This window comes from Homo sapiens, chromosome 1 (genome assembly GCF_000001405.40).
Source record: "Homo sapiens chromosome 1, GRCh38.p14 Primary Assembly".
Taxonomy (NCBI): domain Eukaryota; kingdom Metazoa; phylum Chordata; class Mammalia; order Primates; family Hominidae; genus Homo; species Homo sapiens.
Window position 1 is genome coordinate 28452386 of NC_000001.11, and position 19226 is coordinate 28471611.

The 19226-nt window shown below is 43.0% G+C and overlaps 1 protein-coding gene across 6 annotated transcripts in view; it reads left to right on the top strand.

Annotated features, from left to right (window-relative positions):
* The window catches only part of PHACTR4 (phosphatase and actin regulator 4), a 130625-nt gene that overhangs the window by 82646 nt on the left and 28753 nt on the right, over window positions 1-19226 (top strand). For 3 of the 6 annotated variants that reach the window (NM_001350160.2, NM_001048183.3, NM_023923.4), the window contains 4 exons: window positions 6700-6873; window positions 7827-7907; window positions 13300-13464; window positions 13997-14383. In NM_001350160.2, coding sequence (NP_001337089.1) covers window positions 6700-6873; window positions 7827-7907; window positions 13300-13464; window positions 13997-14383 — 807 coding nt within the window. Of the gene's footprint in view, window positions 1-5446; window positions 5475-6699; window positions 6874-7826; window positions 7908-13299; window positions 13465-13996; window positions 14384-19226 lie in introns of all 6 variants that reach the window. The other 3 variants (NM_001350159.2, NM_001350158.2, NM_001350161.2) reach the window with 2 other exon arrangements.

The following is a 19226-nucleotide window of genomic DNA, read 5'->3' on the forward strand; positions in this document are numbered from 1 at the left end:
GTCCCAGCTACTCAGACAGCTGAGGTGGGAGGATCACTTGATCCCACCAGGAGTTGGAGGCTGCAGTGAGCTCTCATCTCACCACTGCACTCTAGCCTGGGCAAGAGTGAGATGCTGTCTCAAAAATTTTAAAAAGAGGCTGGGCACAATGGCTCATGCCTGTAATCCCAGCACTCTGGGAGGCCAAGGTGGGTAGATCACTTTAGATCTGGAGTTCAAGACCAGCCTGGCCAACATGTTGAAACCTCATCTCTACTAAGATTAGCTGGGCGTGGTGGTACACGCCTATAGTCCCAGCTACTCAGGAGGCTAAGGCAGAAGAATCACTTGAACCTGGGAGGCGGAGGTTGCAGTGAGCCAAGATCACACCACTGCACTCCAGCCTGGGAGACAGAGTGAGACTCCATCTCAAAAAATAAAAAATACAAACAAATAATAAAAATAAAAATAAGTCCGGGCACAGTGGCTCACGCCTGTAATCCCAGCACTTTGGGAGGCCAAGGTGGGTGGATCACTTGAGGTCAGGAGCTCGAGACCAGCCTAGCCAACATGGCGAAACCCTATCTCTACTAAAAATACAAAAGTTAGCCGGGTGTGGTTTTGCGTACCTGTAATCCCGGCTACTTGGGAGGCTGAGGCAGGAGAATCGCTTGAACCCAGGAGGCAGAGGTTGTGGTGAGCCGAGATCACGCCATTGCACTCCAGCCTGGGCAACAAGAATGAAACTTTGTCTCAAAAAAATAAATAAATAAAAATAAAAATGAATTAAATTAACTAGCATATACTGTACTGCTGTAATTTCATAGCCACCTCCTATTACTATTGAAGTGAGCTCAAGTATTGCCAGTATCCACTTAAAATGCTGTATGATGCTAATTTTCTAGTGAGCAGTTCTTCATAGCTTAGTGCAATATCATAAATCTTGAATAACACCACGGGACCTACAACACGTGCCACTAATGATACTGGAATTGCTCTTAAGAAGCAGAGAAGAGTCATGACATTATAAGAAAAAGTTGAAAACGAAAAAAAGAGAAAACACAAGGAAAAGTTGAATCGCCTGATGTGATGCATACCATAGATTGAGGTCTGTAGCTGCAGTTGCCTGCCATTTTTATAAGTATATATACATAGGTGGTGGCTGGGCTGGGGAAATGGCGGCTTCACGAGAGAGTGGGACTTGGGCAGCAGAGGCAGCACAGTGGATGCATTTCTGACCTTCTACAGTGAGGTGAAACAAATAGAGAAGAGAGACTCGGTTCTAACATCCAAAAATCAGATTGAAAGATGGACCCGTCCTGGTTCCTCTTACTTCAATTTGAACCCATTTGAGGTTCTTCAGTTAGATCCTGAAGTTACAGATGAAGAAATTAAAAAAAGAGGTTTCAGCAGTTATCCACATTGGTGCGTCCTGACAAAAATCATGATGCTGACAGAGCACAAAAGGCTTTTGAAGCTGTGGACAAAGCATAAAAGTTGCTACTGGATCAGGACCAAAAGAAGAGGACCCTGGATGTAATTCAGGCAGGAAAAGAATACATGGAACACGGCCAGGCACGGTGGCACACGCCCGTAATCTTAGCACTTTGGAAGGCCAAGGTGGGAGGATCCCTTGAGCTCAGGGGTTTGAGACCAGCCTGGGCAAGATAGCAAGACCTTGTCTCTATTAAAAAAAAATTTTTTTTTTAATTAGCCAGGTGTAGTGGCACACGCTTTTAATCCCAGCTGCTCTGGAGACTGAGGCCAGAGGATTGATTGAACCCAGAAAGATAAAAAAGTCCATTCAAAAGGAAGATATAATAACTCTAAATTTGTATATACCTCATAACAGCTTCAAAGTATATAAAGCAAAAATTAATAGAACTAAGAGAGAAATCACTTTGTCTTTTTTTTTTTTTTTTTTTTTTTTGAGACGGAGTCTCGCTCTGTCGCCCAGGCTGGAGTACAGTGGCGTGATCTCGGCTCTCTGCAAGCTCCACCTCCCGGGTTCACGCCATTCTCCTGCCTCAGCCTCCCTAGTAGCTGGGACTATAGGCACCCGCCACTGCGCCCGGCTAATTTTTTGTATTTTTAGTAGAGATGGGGTTTCACCATGGTCTCGATCTCCTGACCTCGTGATCCGCCCACCTCGGCCTCCCAAAGTGCTGGGATTACAGGTGTGAGCCGCCGCGCCCGGCCATCACTTTCATAATTAGAGATGTTAACATACCTCTCTCAGTTACTGATAGAGCAAACAGACAACAAATCAGAAGGGATCTTAATGATTTGTATATGATTAACCACCTTGACCTAATTGGCATATTTAGAACACCATACCCAACAATTGCACAATACACTTTCCAATAACACATAATTGGAGATAATGTATTATAAATTTGGGAAGAAACAACTGTAAGCTTCTGTTGTTTATTTGCAACTTGGACCATATTTGAGATATATAGGAAAAGCATTAAATATAAATGGCCTAAACACTCCAATTATCCTACCACGTTGGGAGACTGAGGTGGAAGGACCACTTGAACCCAGCAGTTTGAGACCAGCTCAGCTCACTGTAACCTCCACCTCCCGCATTCAAGCCATTCTCCTGCCTCAGCCTCCCAAGTAGCTGGGATTATAGGTGCCTGCCACCATACTCAGCTAATTTTTTTTTGTTGTTGTATTTTTAATAGAGACAGGGTTTCCTCATGTTGGCCAGGCTGGTCTCAACCTCCTGCCCTCAAGTGATCCACCTGTCTCGGCCTCCCAAAGTGTTGGGATTACAGGCATGAGCCACCGCATCTGGCCTCATTTTTCTTTTTCTTTTTCTTTCTTTCTTTTTTTTTTTTTTTTTTTTGAGACAGAGTTTTGCTTTCACCCAGGCTGGAGTGCAGTGATGTGATCTTGGCTCACTGCAACCTCCGCCTCCCAAGTTCAAGATTCTCCTGCCTCAGCCTCCCGAGTAGCTGGGATTATAGGCGTGTACCACCACACCCAGCTAATTTTTGTATTTTTAGTAGAGACGAGGTTTCACCATGTTGGCTAGGCTGGTCTCAAACTCCTGATCTCAGGTGGTCTGCCTGCCTCGGCTTCCCAAAGTGCTGGGATTACAGGCATGAGTCACCATGCCTGGCCCCTAATTCATTTTTCTTCAACAAAGAAGCAGCCTATAGCCAGAAAATGTCTGCCTCTGTCTCTTTTAACCTCCATGAGGTTTCCAGATAATAATCTGGTATTGGGTTTAACACACCTGACTGACCTTAGGACCCTAGGCTGACCTGGAGAGATTTTTTAAAACAGATTCTGAAAGTCCTACCTCCTGGAGATTCTGTATTTTGAAAAGGCAATTGGGCTGATTCCAAGTATTTGGACAGATTTCGGAGTCTTGGAAATAATGTACTGTTTGTCCTGGAGAGTAGGAAAAAGAGGGGAAGGAAGGAGGGAGAATATGAGGATATGAATATGTATGTGTGAATTTGAGATAACTGAGTCAGGGCCAGGTGTGGCTCTACCCCAACACAGGAGGTAAGAGGAAAGAAGGACATCTGCCTCTAAAAGTTTTGTAAAAGTGAAAATCAAGCACATTTGCATGAGAAGCAAAGAAAATGTTGCTCTGTTTTTTGTATTCAGTGGCTTTATTTTTTTTATACATATTTTGCTTATGTATCAACTATTTTTTTTTTGAGACAAGGTCCCTGTATTAAGCCATTCTTGCATTGCTATAAAGAGATCCCTGGGACTGGATAATTTATAAAGAAAAGAGCTTTATTTGACTCGTGGTTCTGTAGGCTGTACAGGAAACATAATGCTTGCAACTGCCCTGCTTCTGGGGAGGTCTCAGGAAACTTACAATCATGAATCATGACAGAAAACCAACCAGGAATAAGCATGTCACGTGACCAGAGCAGGAACAAGAGAGCAAAGAGGGAGATGCCACATACTTTTAAACGACCAGATCTCACGAGAACTCACTCACTATTGCTAAGGCAGCACCATATGGATGGTGCTAAACTATTCATGAGAAATCCACCCCCATGATCCAGTCACCTCCAACCAGGCCCCACTTCCAGTACTGAAGATTACAATTCAACCTGAGATTTGAGCGGGACACATATCTAAACTATATCAGTATGGCTCTGTCGCCCAGGCTGGAGTGCAGTGGCACGATCACAGCTCATTGCAGCCTGGACCTGCTGAGCTCAAGCGATCTTCCCACCTCAGCCTCGCAAGTAGCTGGGACTAGGCACATGGCACCCTGCCCAACTAATTTTTTTTTTTTTTTAAGAGACAGGGTTTCTTCATGTTCCCCAGGCTGGTCTTTCTTTACCTAAAAAAGAAGAGAAGCCAGATGCTGTAGCCAGTGTCTGTAATCTGAGACATTCTCATAATTTCAACTATTTGCCTGTAATCTCAGCTACTCAGGAGGCTGAGGCAGAGGATTGCTTGAGTCCTGGAGTTGAAGGCTCAGTGAGCTGTGATTGTGCCACTGCACTCCATGCTGGGCAACAGAACGAAACCCTGTCTCTAAAATAACTAGATAAATAGATAGAGAGACAGATAGATAGATAGATAGATAGATAGATAGATAATCAGATTCTAGTGTATTTCATGTAAAGTGTTAAAGTAATTGAGACCCAGAATGTCCTTGTATAAGTCATGCAACTAGGAAGAGTCACTGTCCTCTTGTCATTTCCATCTTTTGCACTTTAGTAATGAGGATGCTATTTTGCCTAAGTCTTCTGGGCATAGCAAACTAATGCATCAGTAGTCACCATTGCATTTACTGTGATAATTACGATTGTATAAATCTAACCTTTATTGAAAAACTTCCCTAAACCTCCATCAATCAAGTGAAAAAAAGATTGAATTTGGCAGTTGTTTCTTTTAAAAATTTAATGCTGTTGGTTGTATATTTTCTCTTTTGAAAATACCTAGTTTTAAAAGAGAGAGAGGCCAGGTGTGGTGGTACACACCTTTAATCCCAGTGCTTTTGGGAGGCCAAGCAGGGAGGATCTCTTGAGACCAGGCATTTGAGACCACCCTGAGCAATTTGGTGAGACCCTATCTCTACAAAACAAAATTGTTTTTGTAATTAGCCAGGAGTGATGGTACATGCTTATAGTCCTGGCTACTCAGGAGGCTGAGGCAGGAGGATCATTTGAGATCGGGAATTTGAGGCTGCAGTGAGCTGTGATTACACTACTGCACTTCATCCTGGGCAACAGAGTGAGACCCTGTTTCTAAAATAATAATAATAATAATAATAAATTTTTTTAAAAAAGATGTTTTAGTGACTATTATGACCTTTTTACCCTCCTCCAAAAGTGTTACTTGCTTCAGATGTGAAATTGTTTACAGTCAACATGTTAGCTTATCATATGCTGTTCCTTGATGTATTTCTACAAAGTAGAGGTTCCACTTTAATTTCAGGATGGTTTTTCCACATGACTCTTTTTTTCTTCCTCTCTAGACTTCTCCAGAGAACCTTGGAACAGTAGGTGGAGTGCAAAGCTGCATTGTGTACCTTCCTGCTTTTTTTTGGTTGCCTTCCTGCTGGTTTTTTTTTTTTTCCTTTCTTTAAATTCTTGGCCCCGCCTTGGCTCTCCTTTCTCTGCCATTAAAACTAACTAACTAAACCCTGCATGCATGGTCATTATGAGGGGTTCATGGCCTTTTATTTCAGTTCTGCACATGTATCATGTCAGTTATGTTTTATGTCAAATCCTTAATATTATGGTGTGTGTGTTTGTGTGTGTGTGTGTGTGTGTGTGTGTGTGTGTGTGTGTGTGTGTGTGTTTGAGACAGGCTCTCACTCTGTTGCCCAGGCTGGAGTGCAGTATCTTAATCACAGCCAACTGCAGCATTGACCTCCCAGGCTCAAGCCATCTTCCCAACTCAGCCTCCTGAGTAGTTGGGACTACAGGTGCACACCACCATGCCCAGCTAATTTTTGTTTTTGTATTATTTGTAGAGACAGGGTTTCACCTTACTGCCCTGGTTGATCTCAAGCTCCTGAGCTTAAGCGATCTGCCTGCCTCAGCCTCCCACAGTGCTGGGATTACAGAAATGAGCCACTGTGCTCAGCCTATGATTGTCTCTAAGGCACTACTATGGTAAACAAATTGGAATCTCACCTCTACTTTCTGAAAACATTTCCCTCCAATTTAATGTACCCGCTTTCTAATGCTTCTGCCCCGCAACCCTGAGCACTTTCCAATACCTAGGGTCCTTTTGTGAAGGGAGAAAATAATTTGATGAGCAGATATAAGTAAGGTACTAACAATGTGTTACCTCTCCCTGAACTATTTATATCCTGAAAAGGGCAGGGAAAGGGCAATGTTTAATAGAGAAAATGATTCACTCACTAATGAGGCAGGAATTCCCTGCCTCAGTAAGGCAAGATCTCATGCATTTGTTAAGATATCCACATTTTGTATACATGCGCCTTTAAAAGATTTTGAGCCGGCTCTGATCATTTCACCAGATTTTGTCCTAAAATGATGTCAGCTTGGTTTGGTTCCTTTTTCTCCTTAGTAGTTTATCTGTTAATGGATTTTGATGTTTGGTGTCCATGTGATGTCCAGGAGTCTCCCTGTCTGCATGATTGTTTATCGTTGCTCCGATCCTTTCCAACTACCACAGGAAGAGAGGGGAAGGGACATTTTAGAGATTATGCTGAAATAATACATTTGCTTCCTTCCCTCTCTTCTTTTCATGTAACAGAGGAAGCAGACCAGCCCACTACAGAGCCAGGCATGGTCCTGGACAGTGTGGAAGCAGGAGACACAACACCTCCTACCAAAAGGAAGAGCAAGTTCTCAGGCTTTGGCAAGATCTTCAAGCCCTGGAAATGGAGGAAAAAAAAAAGTAGTGATAAATTTAAAGAGACTTCAGAAGGTGAGATATTAAGGGTTAAATGTGTGTTCTGAGTTAGAATTCTCTATGTTAGATGTATTTAATTTTTCCTTATCTTCCCAAGTTTCTGTAGTCCTCTATTTGAAGAGGGTATTTAATGTTTTATTCTTTCCTTCTTCTTTTTTTTTTTTTTTTTTTTTGGTGAGACAGGATCTCCCTCTGTTGCCCAGGCTAGAGTACAGTGGCGCAATCACAGTTCACTGCAGATTCAACCTCCTGGGCTCATGTAATCCTCCTGCCTCAGCCTCCCAAGTAGCTGGAAGTACAAGCATGAGCTACTGTGCCCAGTTAATTTTTAAATTCTTTGTAGAGATGGGGTCTCCTTATGTTTCCCAGGCTGGTCTTGAACTCCTGGGCTCAAGCGATCCTCCCACCTCAGCCTCCCAAAGTGCTGGGATTACAAGCATGAGCCACTGTGGCTGGCCAGAGTTTAATCTTTTAGAATTAAACATCAAAATGGTCATGTACTAAACCTAATATTGTATACCCTCATTCCCAGGTTTGTATTTTGATGGCATATAAGTATCTATTGAGTGGTGAATGGAGTTCCTGAACTGTCGCAAATCTAAGATGCTTCTTTCCATCAGAACTTGGTGAAGAAAATGACTGAATGAGTTGATACATACATAAATAAAATGCTTATTTTCTACTCTGCCCATCCACACAAAGTTCATCCGTAAATAACTTACTAATGAAATTTTCTCTTAAGTTACAATTATGTAAGGCTAGTTTTTTGGAAGTGATGCTTTCCTGACAGCACAGGTTATAAAAGAAATTTAAGAGTTTTAATTTGAAGTTAGTCTGCTAGTTATTTTCTTTCCTGAGAATATAAACTTAAACTACTTTATTCTTTTACCTGTAGAATTAGAATGCTAAGTGTAAGGTTGACTTTCAACTGTCACATTTCTGAGTGCCATTTTCCAATTTAATGTTAGTTTTAGAACGGAAAATATCTATGCGAAAGCCAAGAGAAGAGCTGGTTAAAAGAGGGGTTCTGTTGGAAGACCCTGAGCAAGGTGAGTTTACAAATAAATAGCATATGCCTGTCTCTGTGCACTTGGTCTTTGATTGGGTCTGACGAGATATTTGAATTTTCTTTCTTTCTTTTATATTGCTATTTTTGGGTTGGAGGGTGGCCTTTAAAAAAAAAAGTTCACCCTTCCTTCCTTGGGGCAAACATTCCTTTCCTCTGTGTACATCCTCAACTTTGTGCCAGCTACAATATTGCGTGTCTTTTTTTTCCCCCCCTTGAGACAGAGTCTTGCTCTGTTGCCCAGGCTGGAGTGCAGTGGCACAATCTTGGCTCACTGCAACCTCTGCCTCCTGGGTTCAAGCAATTCTCGTGCCTCAGCCTCCCAAGTAGCTGGGATTACAGGCACCTGTCACCACCCCCAGCTAACTTTTGACTTTTTAGTAGAGATGGGGTTTCACCATGTTGGTCAGGCTGGTCTTGAACTTCTAACCTCAGGTGATCCGCCCGCCTTGGCCTCCCAAAGTTCTGGGACTACAGGTGTGAGCCACTGTGCCTGGCTAATTTTTTCATTTTTAGTAGAGATGAGGTTTCACCAAGTTGGCCAGGCTGGTCTCGAACTCCTGACCTCAGGTGTTCTGCCCACCTCGGCCTCCCAAAGTGCTGGGATTACAGGCTTGAGCCACCGCGCCCAGCTCATTTTCTTTTTTGAACACATTTGTCCCCATGCCCATATCACTGCACCAGTCTACCAGTCATTGTTTGTTTAATAATGTCAAGACTTTCTTCAATGTGTGACTCTATGAAGCAAGTTATTGCAAATGTGAAAGTATAGTACATTGGTTGCATCTCATTTCTCTTCATCTGAGTTATGTTGCATGAGGCAAAATCTGAAAGCCATATTGTATACTGGCCAGGCATGGTGGCTCACGCCTGTAATCCCAGTATTTTAGGAGGCCGAGACGGGCAGAACACTTAAGGTCAGGAGTTTGAGACCAGCCTGGCCAAAATGGTGAAACCCCATCTCTACTAAAAATACAAAAAATTAGGAGGGCATAGTAGCAGGCACCTGTAGTACCAGCTACTTGGGAGGCTGAGGCAGGAGAATCACTTGAACTCAGGAGGCAGAGGTTGCAGTGAGCTGAGATGGCGCCACTGCACTCCAGCCTGGGCAACAGAGCAAGACTCCTTCTCAAAAAAATTTAAAAAATCATATCCTTTGAAGAATAGGGGAAAGGAACCAAATAGATGGAGTATTACTGTATACTTTTTGGGCTTTAAACCATGCGAATATATTGCCTATTCAAAAAATTAAATTGTATGTATTGAAGATTTATTATCTCAACTGTATAAAAACTAACCAGAGACAACAAGCTTGAAGGAGCAATTTGAAATATTATTACAATTGGTTACCTCTGAAGTTGAGGTGGGAACATGGGTGGGCTTTTTTTTTGTTTTTTAATTGAGACAGGGTCTCCCTATGTTGCCCAGGCTAGTCTCAAACTCATGGGCAGCACAAGCAGTCTTCCTGCCTCAGCCTCCCAAAGTGCTGGGATTACAGGCGTGAGCTGCTGTGCCCAGGTGCTATGCGATGTTTTCTTTCTTTCTTTTTTTTTTTTTGTATGTGACTAGTTATGAGCATATATAACTTTTGTTTTATATAACTCTATTTGTTTTTTTACATTAGGACACAAAATCTTCTCAGTATTTAGGTAGTTACGTACTACTTTAATGGTTTCACTGTAGCACCTCTTTGGCCCTTGCTTTGCTTTCTTTTTTGAGACAGAGTCTCACTCTCTCTCCCAGGCTGGAGTGCAGTGGTGTGATCTTGGCTCACTGCAACCTCCATCTGCTGGGTTCAAGCAATTTTCCAGCCTCAGCCTCCCGAGGAGCTGTGATTACAGGCATCCGCCACCACACCTGGCTAATTTTTGTATTTTTAGTAGAGTTGGGGTTTTCACCATGTTGGCCAGACTGGTCTCGAACTCCTGACCTCAAGTGATCCAGCCACCTCAGCCTCCCAAAGTGCTGGGATTACAGGCGTGAGCCACCATGCCTGGCCTGGCCCTTGCTTTTTTGATACAGCTGTTCCACTTTCCATGGCCTTTCTTTTCACCTTTCTTGCTCACTTATCATAAACCACATACATTACTCATTTCTTGTTTTTCACCTTCAGTCTCTTTTGCCCTACACTCACGGCAACCTCTGCCTCCTGGGTTCAAGCAATTCTCCTTCCTCAGCCTCCCGAGTAGCTGGAATTATAGGCATGCATCACCACACCCAGCTAATTTTTGTATTTTTAATAGACAGGGTTTCACCGTTTTGGCCAGGCTGGTCTCAAACTCCTGAGCTCAAGTGATCCACCTGCCTCGGCCTTCCAAAGTTCTGGGATTATAGGCATGAGCCACCACGCCTGATGATCTTTTGCCCTATACTTTCTATTAGCCCCTAATCCAAGTTGTTTTTAGCCTACAAGTTCACAGGCCCAATTAATAAACGAGTTGCAGCCATTGGACAAGATGCCATTCTGCCAACCAGATAAATGACCTAAGCTTTATTCTGTATCTAAAAACAGGGATGGGCCTCATGCTGGCTTATAGATCTGCATTTTAGGCCAAAAGTAGTGTTTGAACCTTGAAGTCCTCTGCATACTTAAAGGGAACTTTTGGCTGGCCTGGCGCGGTGGCTCATGCTGTAATCCCAGCACTTTGGGAGGCCAGTGTGGGAGGATCCCTTGAACTCAGTAGTTCCAGACCAGCCTGAGCAACATAGTGAGACCTCATCTCTATAAAAGATTTTTTAAATTAGCCAGGTATGGTAGTGCAGGCCTGTAGTCCTAGCTACTTGAGCCCAAAAGATGGAGGATGGCTTGAGCCCAGAAGATTGAAGGCTGCAGTAAGTATTAATTGCACCACTGCACTCCAGCCTGGGCGACAGAGTGAGACCCTGTTTTTTTTTTTAAAAAAAGGTGGCTTTTGGCTTGATTATAGTGCTAACTTGACTGTACTGTAAAATATTTAATTGATTTTAATTGATTTTCTGGGTTTAGGGAGAACATTCAGTGATGTTAAAGCCCCATAGTACTACTCCACTTCATTAACATTGCAGAACCCTCTATATTTAATATAAGAAATGATACTGCAAAGTAGACATCCCTGATTAAGTAACTTGAGATAACTGATCACTTTTGCATGTATTTCACTAGTGTGTGCTGAGTAGAAACTAATTAACACTGTCTTAAACTTTATTATGTTGTTTTCACAAAGAGCAGCCTTTGTTGACTTTGAAATCATTGCTTCAGTATTCTAGAAAATCTTGTTTTTGTTAAACATGGGCAGTAACTTACTATTTTTGTATAGTTGTTGTCATCTTACCCCCACCCTGTTTTAAAAATAAAAAGTAGTTGTCAGATTACTTTGGCTTTAGAAGTACCTTTTCACTTGCCTTAGAATCTTCATTACTTTGAGCCTACACTCCACCTCTTATTGGAACTTCATGAAGAATGATGTTGGATTTCACTCTGTCACCCAGGCTAGAGCACAGTGGTCTGATCATGGCTTACTGTACCCTTGACCTCCTGGGTTCAAACAGTCCTCCCACCTCAGCCTCCCAGGTAGCTGGGACTAGGCATGTGCCACCACACCCAGCTAGTTTTTTTACTTTTTTGTAGAGACAGGGTCTTACTATGTTTCGCAGGCTGATCTCAAACTCTTGGGCTCAACGATCCTCCCGCCTCAGCCTCCCAAATTGTTGGGATTACAGGCATGAGCACCACTGTGCCCAGCCCATAACCATTTCTTTTTTTTTTTTTTTTTTGAGATGGAGTCTGTTGCCTCAGCCTCCCGAGTAGCTGGGATTACAGGCACCTGCCACCACACCCGAATAATTTTTGTATTGTTAGTAAAGACGGGGTTTCACCATGTTGGCCAGGCTGGTCTCAAACTCCTGACCTCAGATGATCCACCCGCCTCGGCCTCCCAGAGTGTTGGGATTACAGGCGTGAGCCACTACACCCGGCCCCCCATAACCATTTCTTATGTGAATCTATTCTCCTGCCAGACCAAACTAGTTGCCAGTGCCCCAAACACGTTGAATAACTTCACACCTTTATACATGCTGTCCTTCTTCCAAACAGACTGTCTTTATTCAGTGTGGTAGGCTCCTACTCCTTCAAGATCCAGTTCAAAGCAAGGCATGGTGGTGTGTGCTATAGTCCCATCTACTAGGGAGTCTGAGAGAGGAGGACTGTTTGAGCCCAGGAGTTCAAGGCCCATTCTGGTAACATAGCAAGACCATCTCAACTCCAGCTCAGATACTTTCTGTGATGCCTTCCTAACTCTATTCTCACTCCAGGAAAATGATTTCTTCTTCATTCCTACCACAGTACTTCACTAATTAGAGCTCTTGACATTTAACATTGTAGTTACTTATATATAAGTTTGCCCTATTCGTTTGTCTTTTTTTTTCTTTCTTTGAGTTGGAAGTTTTGCTCTGCTGCCCAGGCTGGAGTGCAATGACACAATCTTGGCTTACTGCAACCTCTGCCTCCTGGGTTCAGTTGATTCTCCTGCCTCAGCCTCCTGAATAGCTGGGATTACAGGCGCTTGCTACCATGCCTGGATAATTTTTGTATTTTTAGTAGAGACAAGGTTTTACCATGTTAGACAGGCTGGTCTCGAACTCTTGACCTCAGGTGATCCACCTGCCTCAGCCTCCCAAAGTGCTGAGATTACAGGTGTGAGACACTGCGCCCGGCTTTTATTTGTCTTATTCATATAACAACGTACTTGGCACATAGTAGGCTATCAAACATGTATTGGAAAAAGAAATCACTTGTTTCTGTTTAAGCATCCAGATAATCTAGATCTCAATAATAAACTAAAACAGGAAGACGAGGGAAAGAAGATAAGAAAGGTTAGAAATCACCAACCCTGGGCCGGGCACGGTGGCTCACGCCTGTAATCCCAGCACTTTGGGGGCTGAGGCGGGCAGATCACGAGGTCAGGAGATCGAGACCATCCTGGCTAACACGGTGAAACCCCGTCTCCACTAAAAAATACAAAAAATTAGTCGGGCGTGGTGGCAGGCGTCTAGTCCCAGATACTCAGGAGGCTGAGGCAGGAGAATGGCGTGAACCCGGGAGGCAGAGGCTGCAGCGAGCCAAGATCATGCCACTGCACTCCAGCCTGGTCTGTGAGACCCTGTCTCAAATCACCAACTCTGGCCAGGCGCAGTGATTCATGCCATTTATCCTAGCACTTCGGGAGACCAAGGCGGGCTGATTGCTTGAGCCCAGGAGTTCAAGACCAGCCTGGGCAACATAGTGAGACCCTGTCTCAATTTAAAAAAGAGAGAGAAAGAAAAAAAGAAATTACTAACTCTTCTTTCTATCTGTTCATGCCAACTTCATCACTTTGTACTCTTCTTTCACCTTGCAGGTGGTGAGGATCCAGGAAAGCCAAGCGATGCCATGTTAAAGAATGGCCATACCACCCCCATAGGGAATGCCAGATCATCTAGTCCAGTCCAAGTAGAGGAAGAGCCAGTAAGATTAGCAAGTCTTAGGAAAGCTATTCCAGAAGAGGACCTAAAGAAACGACTAGGTAAGAAACTCTGGATTTTTGAGTTTAAGAGCCACGGGCCAGTTATTCTCCTTACATAAGGGGTTTGCAAGAGAACAGGGAAAAGTGAAATCTAGAGAGAATTACATTCTCCTTTAACAATACCTTAACTAGCAACTTCAAGGGGAATTTCCTCCCCCACCCCGCTTTTATTCACTAAATACCTAAATTTGTGATCCTCAAGAAGGGAAGAGGATGTTAAGTATCAGATACCTATAGGATTTTTTCCAGCTACACATTCCACTTCTTTCACCCAAGGAATTTTGTTGTGGCTCTCCTCCAGTAGCCTGGCCCTTGTGTGAAGAATCACTACCACAATGAGCATCTCTTAGTGAGCCTTTCTTACTGACATTTCTTAAGTATGGGGAGGTTGGGAGGCATTGAGAATGGTAACCTATAAGCTAATCTATAAATTAATTGGTGAAATTGGCCACAAATTCATAGATGTGTTAGCTTTTTCAGTTTCTCTTGTTACTCTCTCTTCCCTTTTTATACCATACATGTTATTACACAGGCTCAACTGGAAGCCAGCCTAATTCTGAAGCAGAGTCTGTTCCTGAGAATGTACCCAAACCACCTTTACTTCCTCCCAAAAGACCCTTGTCCTCTTCTCATGAAGCAAGTGAAGGGCAAGCAAAGGATGCCACTTCCTCTGGCGGCACGGCAAGGTTCATCATCTCCACCTCCATCACCACAGCACCCGCTGCCACCACTGCTGCCACAAGCCTTGCAAAGACTGTTAATCTCTCTGTCACCCCTTCCCCAGCACCCAGGACTCTGCCTGCTGCTCCTGCCAGCACTAACACTACTGCTACCCCAAGCCTCACTCATATGGTCCCTGCCAAGCAGCCCCCTATCCCTCCCCCTAAACCAGCTCACAGAAATAGCAACCCTGTCATTGGTAAGTAAGTCTTTAGGCTTCCAGTGTTTTGGGTTTGGTTTGATGTTGGATGGTTATTTTATTTGATAACTGGTACAACATTGATTTGGTCTGTGAGAATTTTCCATATCTTGTCCCTTTGAATGACCTCAATATGGAGAAAAGTCTTAGGTTAAGAAAAAATAGGCCAGGTGCGGTGGCTCACGCCTGTAATCCCAGCACTTTGGGAGGCCGAGGTGGGTGGATCACAAGGTCAGGAGATTGAGACCATCCTGGCAACATGGTGAAACCCCATCTCTACTAAAAATACAAAAAATTAGCCAGGCGTGGTGGCACGTGCCTGTAGTCCCAGCTACTTGGGAGGCTGAGGCAAGAGAATTGCTTGAACCCAGGAGGCGGAGGTTGCAGTGAGCCAAGATTGTGCCAATGCACCCCAGCCTAGGCGACAGAGAGAGACTCCGTCTCAAAAAAACAAAAACAAACAAACAAAAAAAGTCATGAAACTGAGGCAGATGGCCATAAATGTAAACATCACTAAGATTAGATTTAAGTTTTGGGGGTTTTAACCTATTTTTTAATCTAATATTTAATCTGTTTTTCTAAAACAATGATTCCAAAACACTATACATATTTGTGTGTGTGTGTGTGTGTGTGTGTGTGTGTGTGTGTGTAATTGGACTGGATATGTGAAAACCATAACAGATTCCACCTGCATGGAATTATCTGTGGCACTTGCTGAAAAATTAGAATAATGCCTCAGCTCACAAGGGGCAAGGCAAACTTTTCAAATGAAAATTTTTAAATCTACTTAAAACTACCTATGCCTTCCATAAGCATTAATGAGTCTAGTAGATAAAAGGATGATTCTGTAGATGCCAGTGGAATTTGGGATTCAGTGTCTGGCATAGTTATCTTCACAGGGAACTGCAGAAGCTATTACTTAAATTGTTCTGATAAAATCATGTTTTATCTTGGGAGAATTAAGAATGCTATTCTTATGTTAAAATAAGTGATGGTAGAGAAAGCAGGGAATATAATCAGTAAAATTTGTATGGGTTTAGTAAATTTTTTGCATTTACCCAAAGTTCTATTTAAGTCTACTTTCTTTATATAAATGCACAATTTCTTAGAAGAATTTTCAAGAAAGGGAGAGGAAAGCTAATGAGTGCTTCAAAGCTAATAAAAATATAGTTTTTTCAGGAAAAATGATACTAGGCTTAGTATTGCTTAAAGTTCTTGTTCACGATTGAACGAATGAATAAAAACTATACTCATTAAATATTTAATATCACCATGTTGGGTGGAGTGATTCAAACCTTGAAAAACAGGCTTAGAATATTTTATGAGTATGACAGTTTGGAGTAGCTTGATGAAAACAGGATGAAGTTGTTATTACCACCACTTTGGATGGATAGTGTCATGTTGACTTATCTGTGAGGAACTTGGGGAGCTTTCACATACTTATTTTCAAAACTACCTTGTGCTGCAGGAAACCAATTTTATCTTTTCCATAGGTAGGGCAATTAGAACATGAAGACATTGTGACTCATTCAAGGTTGTAGGCCAGGCGCAGTGGCTCATGCCTGTAATCCCAGCACTTTGGGAGGCAGAGGCGGGTGGATCACCTGAGGTCAGGAGTTCAAGACCAGCCTGGCCAACATGGTGAAACGCCATCTCTACTAAAAATACAAAAAATTAGCCGGGCATGGTGGTAGGCACCTGTAATCCCAGCTACTCGGGAGGCTGAAGCAGGAGAATTGCTTGCACGTGGGAAGCAGACGTTGCAGTGAGCTGAGATTGTGCCACTGCATTGCAGCCTGAGCAACAAGAGCAAAACTCCATCTCAAAAAAAAAGAAGAAGGTTGTAGTTAGTGAAAGATAGAAACTGAACATAGGCTTTTCAACTCTCAGGTCCAGACCTCTGTTCCTTACAGTAGTGTTTGCAAACTGGTGTTCTCCTCAGGATCACCTAGAAAGCTTATGATAACAGACTGCTGGACACTACCCGTAGAGTTTCTGATTTTAGTAAGCCTGGGATGGGCTTGAGAATTTGCCTTTCTAATAGGTTCCCAGATGACACTGATGCTGCTCTCCAGGGAGCACACATTAAGAGCCTCTGCTCTACACCAGTGGCATACCACCCTTTTCAAGTTAAGGCAACATATAAAATGATAATTTGTGTATGATACCCTGGACTAAACTGCAGAGCTCATTCTTAGCTTGAGGTAAATAGCCCAAAACAATAGACCTTGTAACTGAGGAATCAGTATTAGTCCATGAGGGGTCCTCAACAAAAGAAGAAAAATAGAACAGTTCACAGAGCATTTCTTAGAGCTAAATAGATTTAATTTAAAGGACTCTCTTTTATTCTAAAATTACAACCTTCCTAATCCTTTGGTGTTAAAATGCCATTTCTTTCACAAAAGGATTATGATCATAAATGGTTTACTTAATATCAAGCCTTATTTGGAAATCTTAGAAAATGACAACCTCAAAAAAACACTAGAAAAAAAACCAACAATCTGAGGTTGATCAAGATTTTTGTTATTGTTTTGGTCACTGAAATCCAAAAGTTTGGAAATCATTGCTTCAGAAGTACTACTGTCTTCTCATCCATATAACATGGAGTATTACGACTAAGGAAAAACCACCAGCAATAGCTGAACGGGTGAAAGGGAATTATTACCCATCCCAGAAACACTCTGAAATTTTTCCACAGAACTACAGCCAGATGCTGTTGTCAGGGTATATATACCAGAATTTACTTCCTTAACATATATGCCTTCCTCAAATTACCAAATAGAATTTATTTTATTAATTCAAAAGTAAAAATATTCATTTATGGTCTCATCAGGAATGAGTTTTGTTGTAGATGGAATAGCTAACAGCTATTTTTAGAGAATCAGCAAAAATCCAATCTTTCCAAAAATATCTCTTTCACTGCTCCTAAAATTCACATTTTTAGAATCTTTTTGTGTGTGTATGCAGTGTTTTTCTAGAAAGCCTTTTTTAAAATTTATTTATGGGGCCAGGCATGGTGGCTCATGCCTGTAATCCCAGCACTTCGGGAGGCCGAGGTGGGCAGATCGCTTGAGGCCCAGAGTTTGAGACCAGCCTGGGCAACATGGTGAAACCCCATCTCTACTAAAAATACAAAAAATGATCTGGGTATGATGGTGCATGCCTATAATCCCAGCTACTCAGGAGGCTGAGGCAGGAGAGAATCACTTGAACCCGGGAAGTGGCGGTTGCAGTGAGCCAAAATTGCACCACTGTACTCCAACCTAGGCAACAGAGCGAGACTCTGTCTCAAAAAAAAAAAAATTATTTATGATGAGAGACATTAAAACATTACAAAATTAGGCCAGGCACAGTGGCTCAATGCCTATAATCCCAGCATTTGGGGAGGCCGAGGTGGGAAGATCACTTGAGGCCAGGAGTTCAAGACCAGCCTGAGCAACGTAGCAAGACCCCATCTCTATAAAATATTTAAAAATTAGCTGGGCATGGTGACATGTGCCTGTAATTCTAGCTACTTGGGAGATTGAGGTAAGAGGATTGGGTAAGCACAGGAGTTCAAGGCTGCAGTGAGTTATGATTGCACCACTGCACTCTAGCCTGGGTAACAGAGCAACATCCTGTCTCTAAAAAAAAAGAAAAGGCTAGGTACAGTGGCTCACACCTGTAGTACCAACACTTTGGGAGGCTGAGGCAGGTAGATTACCTGAGCCCAGGAGTTTGAGACCAGCCTAGGCAACATGGAGAAACCCATCTCTACAAAAAATACCCCCCCCAAAAATTAGCCGGGCATGGTGGCACATGCCTATGGTCCCAGCTACTTGGGAGGCTGAGGTGGGAGGATCACCTGAGCCCAGGGAGGTCAAAATTGCAGTGAGCCGTGACTGCGCCACTGCACTCCAGTGACACAGTGTGAGACCCTGTCTAAAATAAATTAATTTAATTTAAAAATAAAAATAAATTTAAAAAGAAAAGAGGCTGGGTGTGGTGGCTCACATCCATAATCCCAGCACTTTGGGAGGCTGAGATAGGTGTATCACTGGAGCCCAGGACCTCAAGACCAGCCTGGGCAGCATAGTGAGACCTTGTCTCTACTAAAAATTAAAAAAATTAGTCAGGCATGGGGGCATGGGCCTGTAGTCCTAGCTACTTGGGAGGCTGTAGCAAGAGGATCACTTGAACCCAGGAGATCGAGGCTGCAGTGAGCTATTGTTCATGCCACTGCACTCCAGTCTGGGCAACAGAGGGAGACCTTGTCTCAAAAGAAAAAAAAAAAAAGAATTATAAAATTAGCTAGCCTTGGCCGGGCAAAGCGGACATGCCTGTAATCCCAGCACTTTGGGAGGCCGAGGCGGGTGGATCACCTGAGGTCGGGAGTTCAAGACCAGCCTGACCAACATGGAGAAACCCCATCTCTACTAAAAATACAAAAAATTAGCCGGGCGTGGTGGCACATGCCTGTAATCCCAGCTACTCAGGAGGCTGAGGTAGGAGAATCACTTGAACCCAGGAGGTGGAGGTTGCAGTTAGCCGAGATGGCGCCATTGCACTCCAGCCTGGGCAACGAGTGAAACTCCATCTCAAAAAAGAAAAAAATAATTAGCTAGCCTTTTACTTTGAACATCTCCAATTTTGGAGATTTAGGACAAATACAGTTTTATTTAAGGGAAGTTTTTGAGAGTGTTTGAGAATACTGAGTGGGATGAAACTAAAGGGTTTGAGTAGAAGGTTAGAGGTTGGTGATCAAAAGAACTACTTTTTTTTTTTTTTTCCTGTCAGCAGGGAAAAAATAACTACCCTTTAATTACTTTACCAGTTTTACTCCTGTGTGATCTGATGATCCACT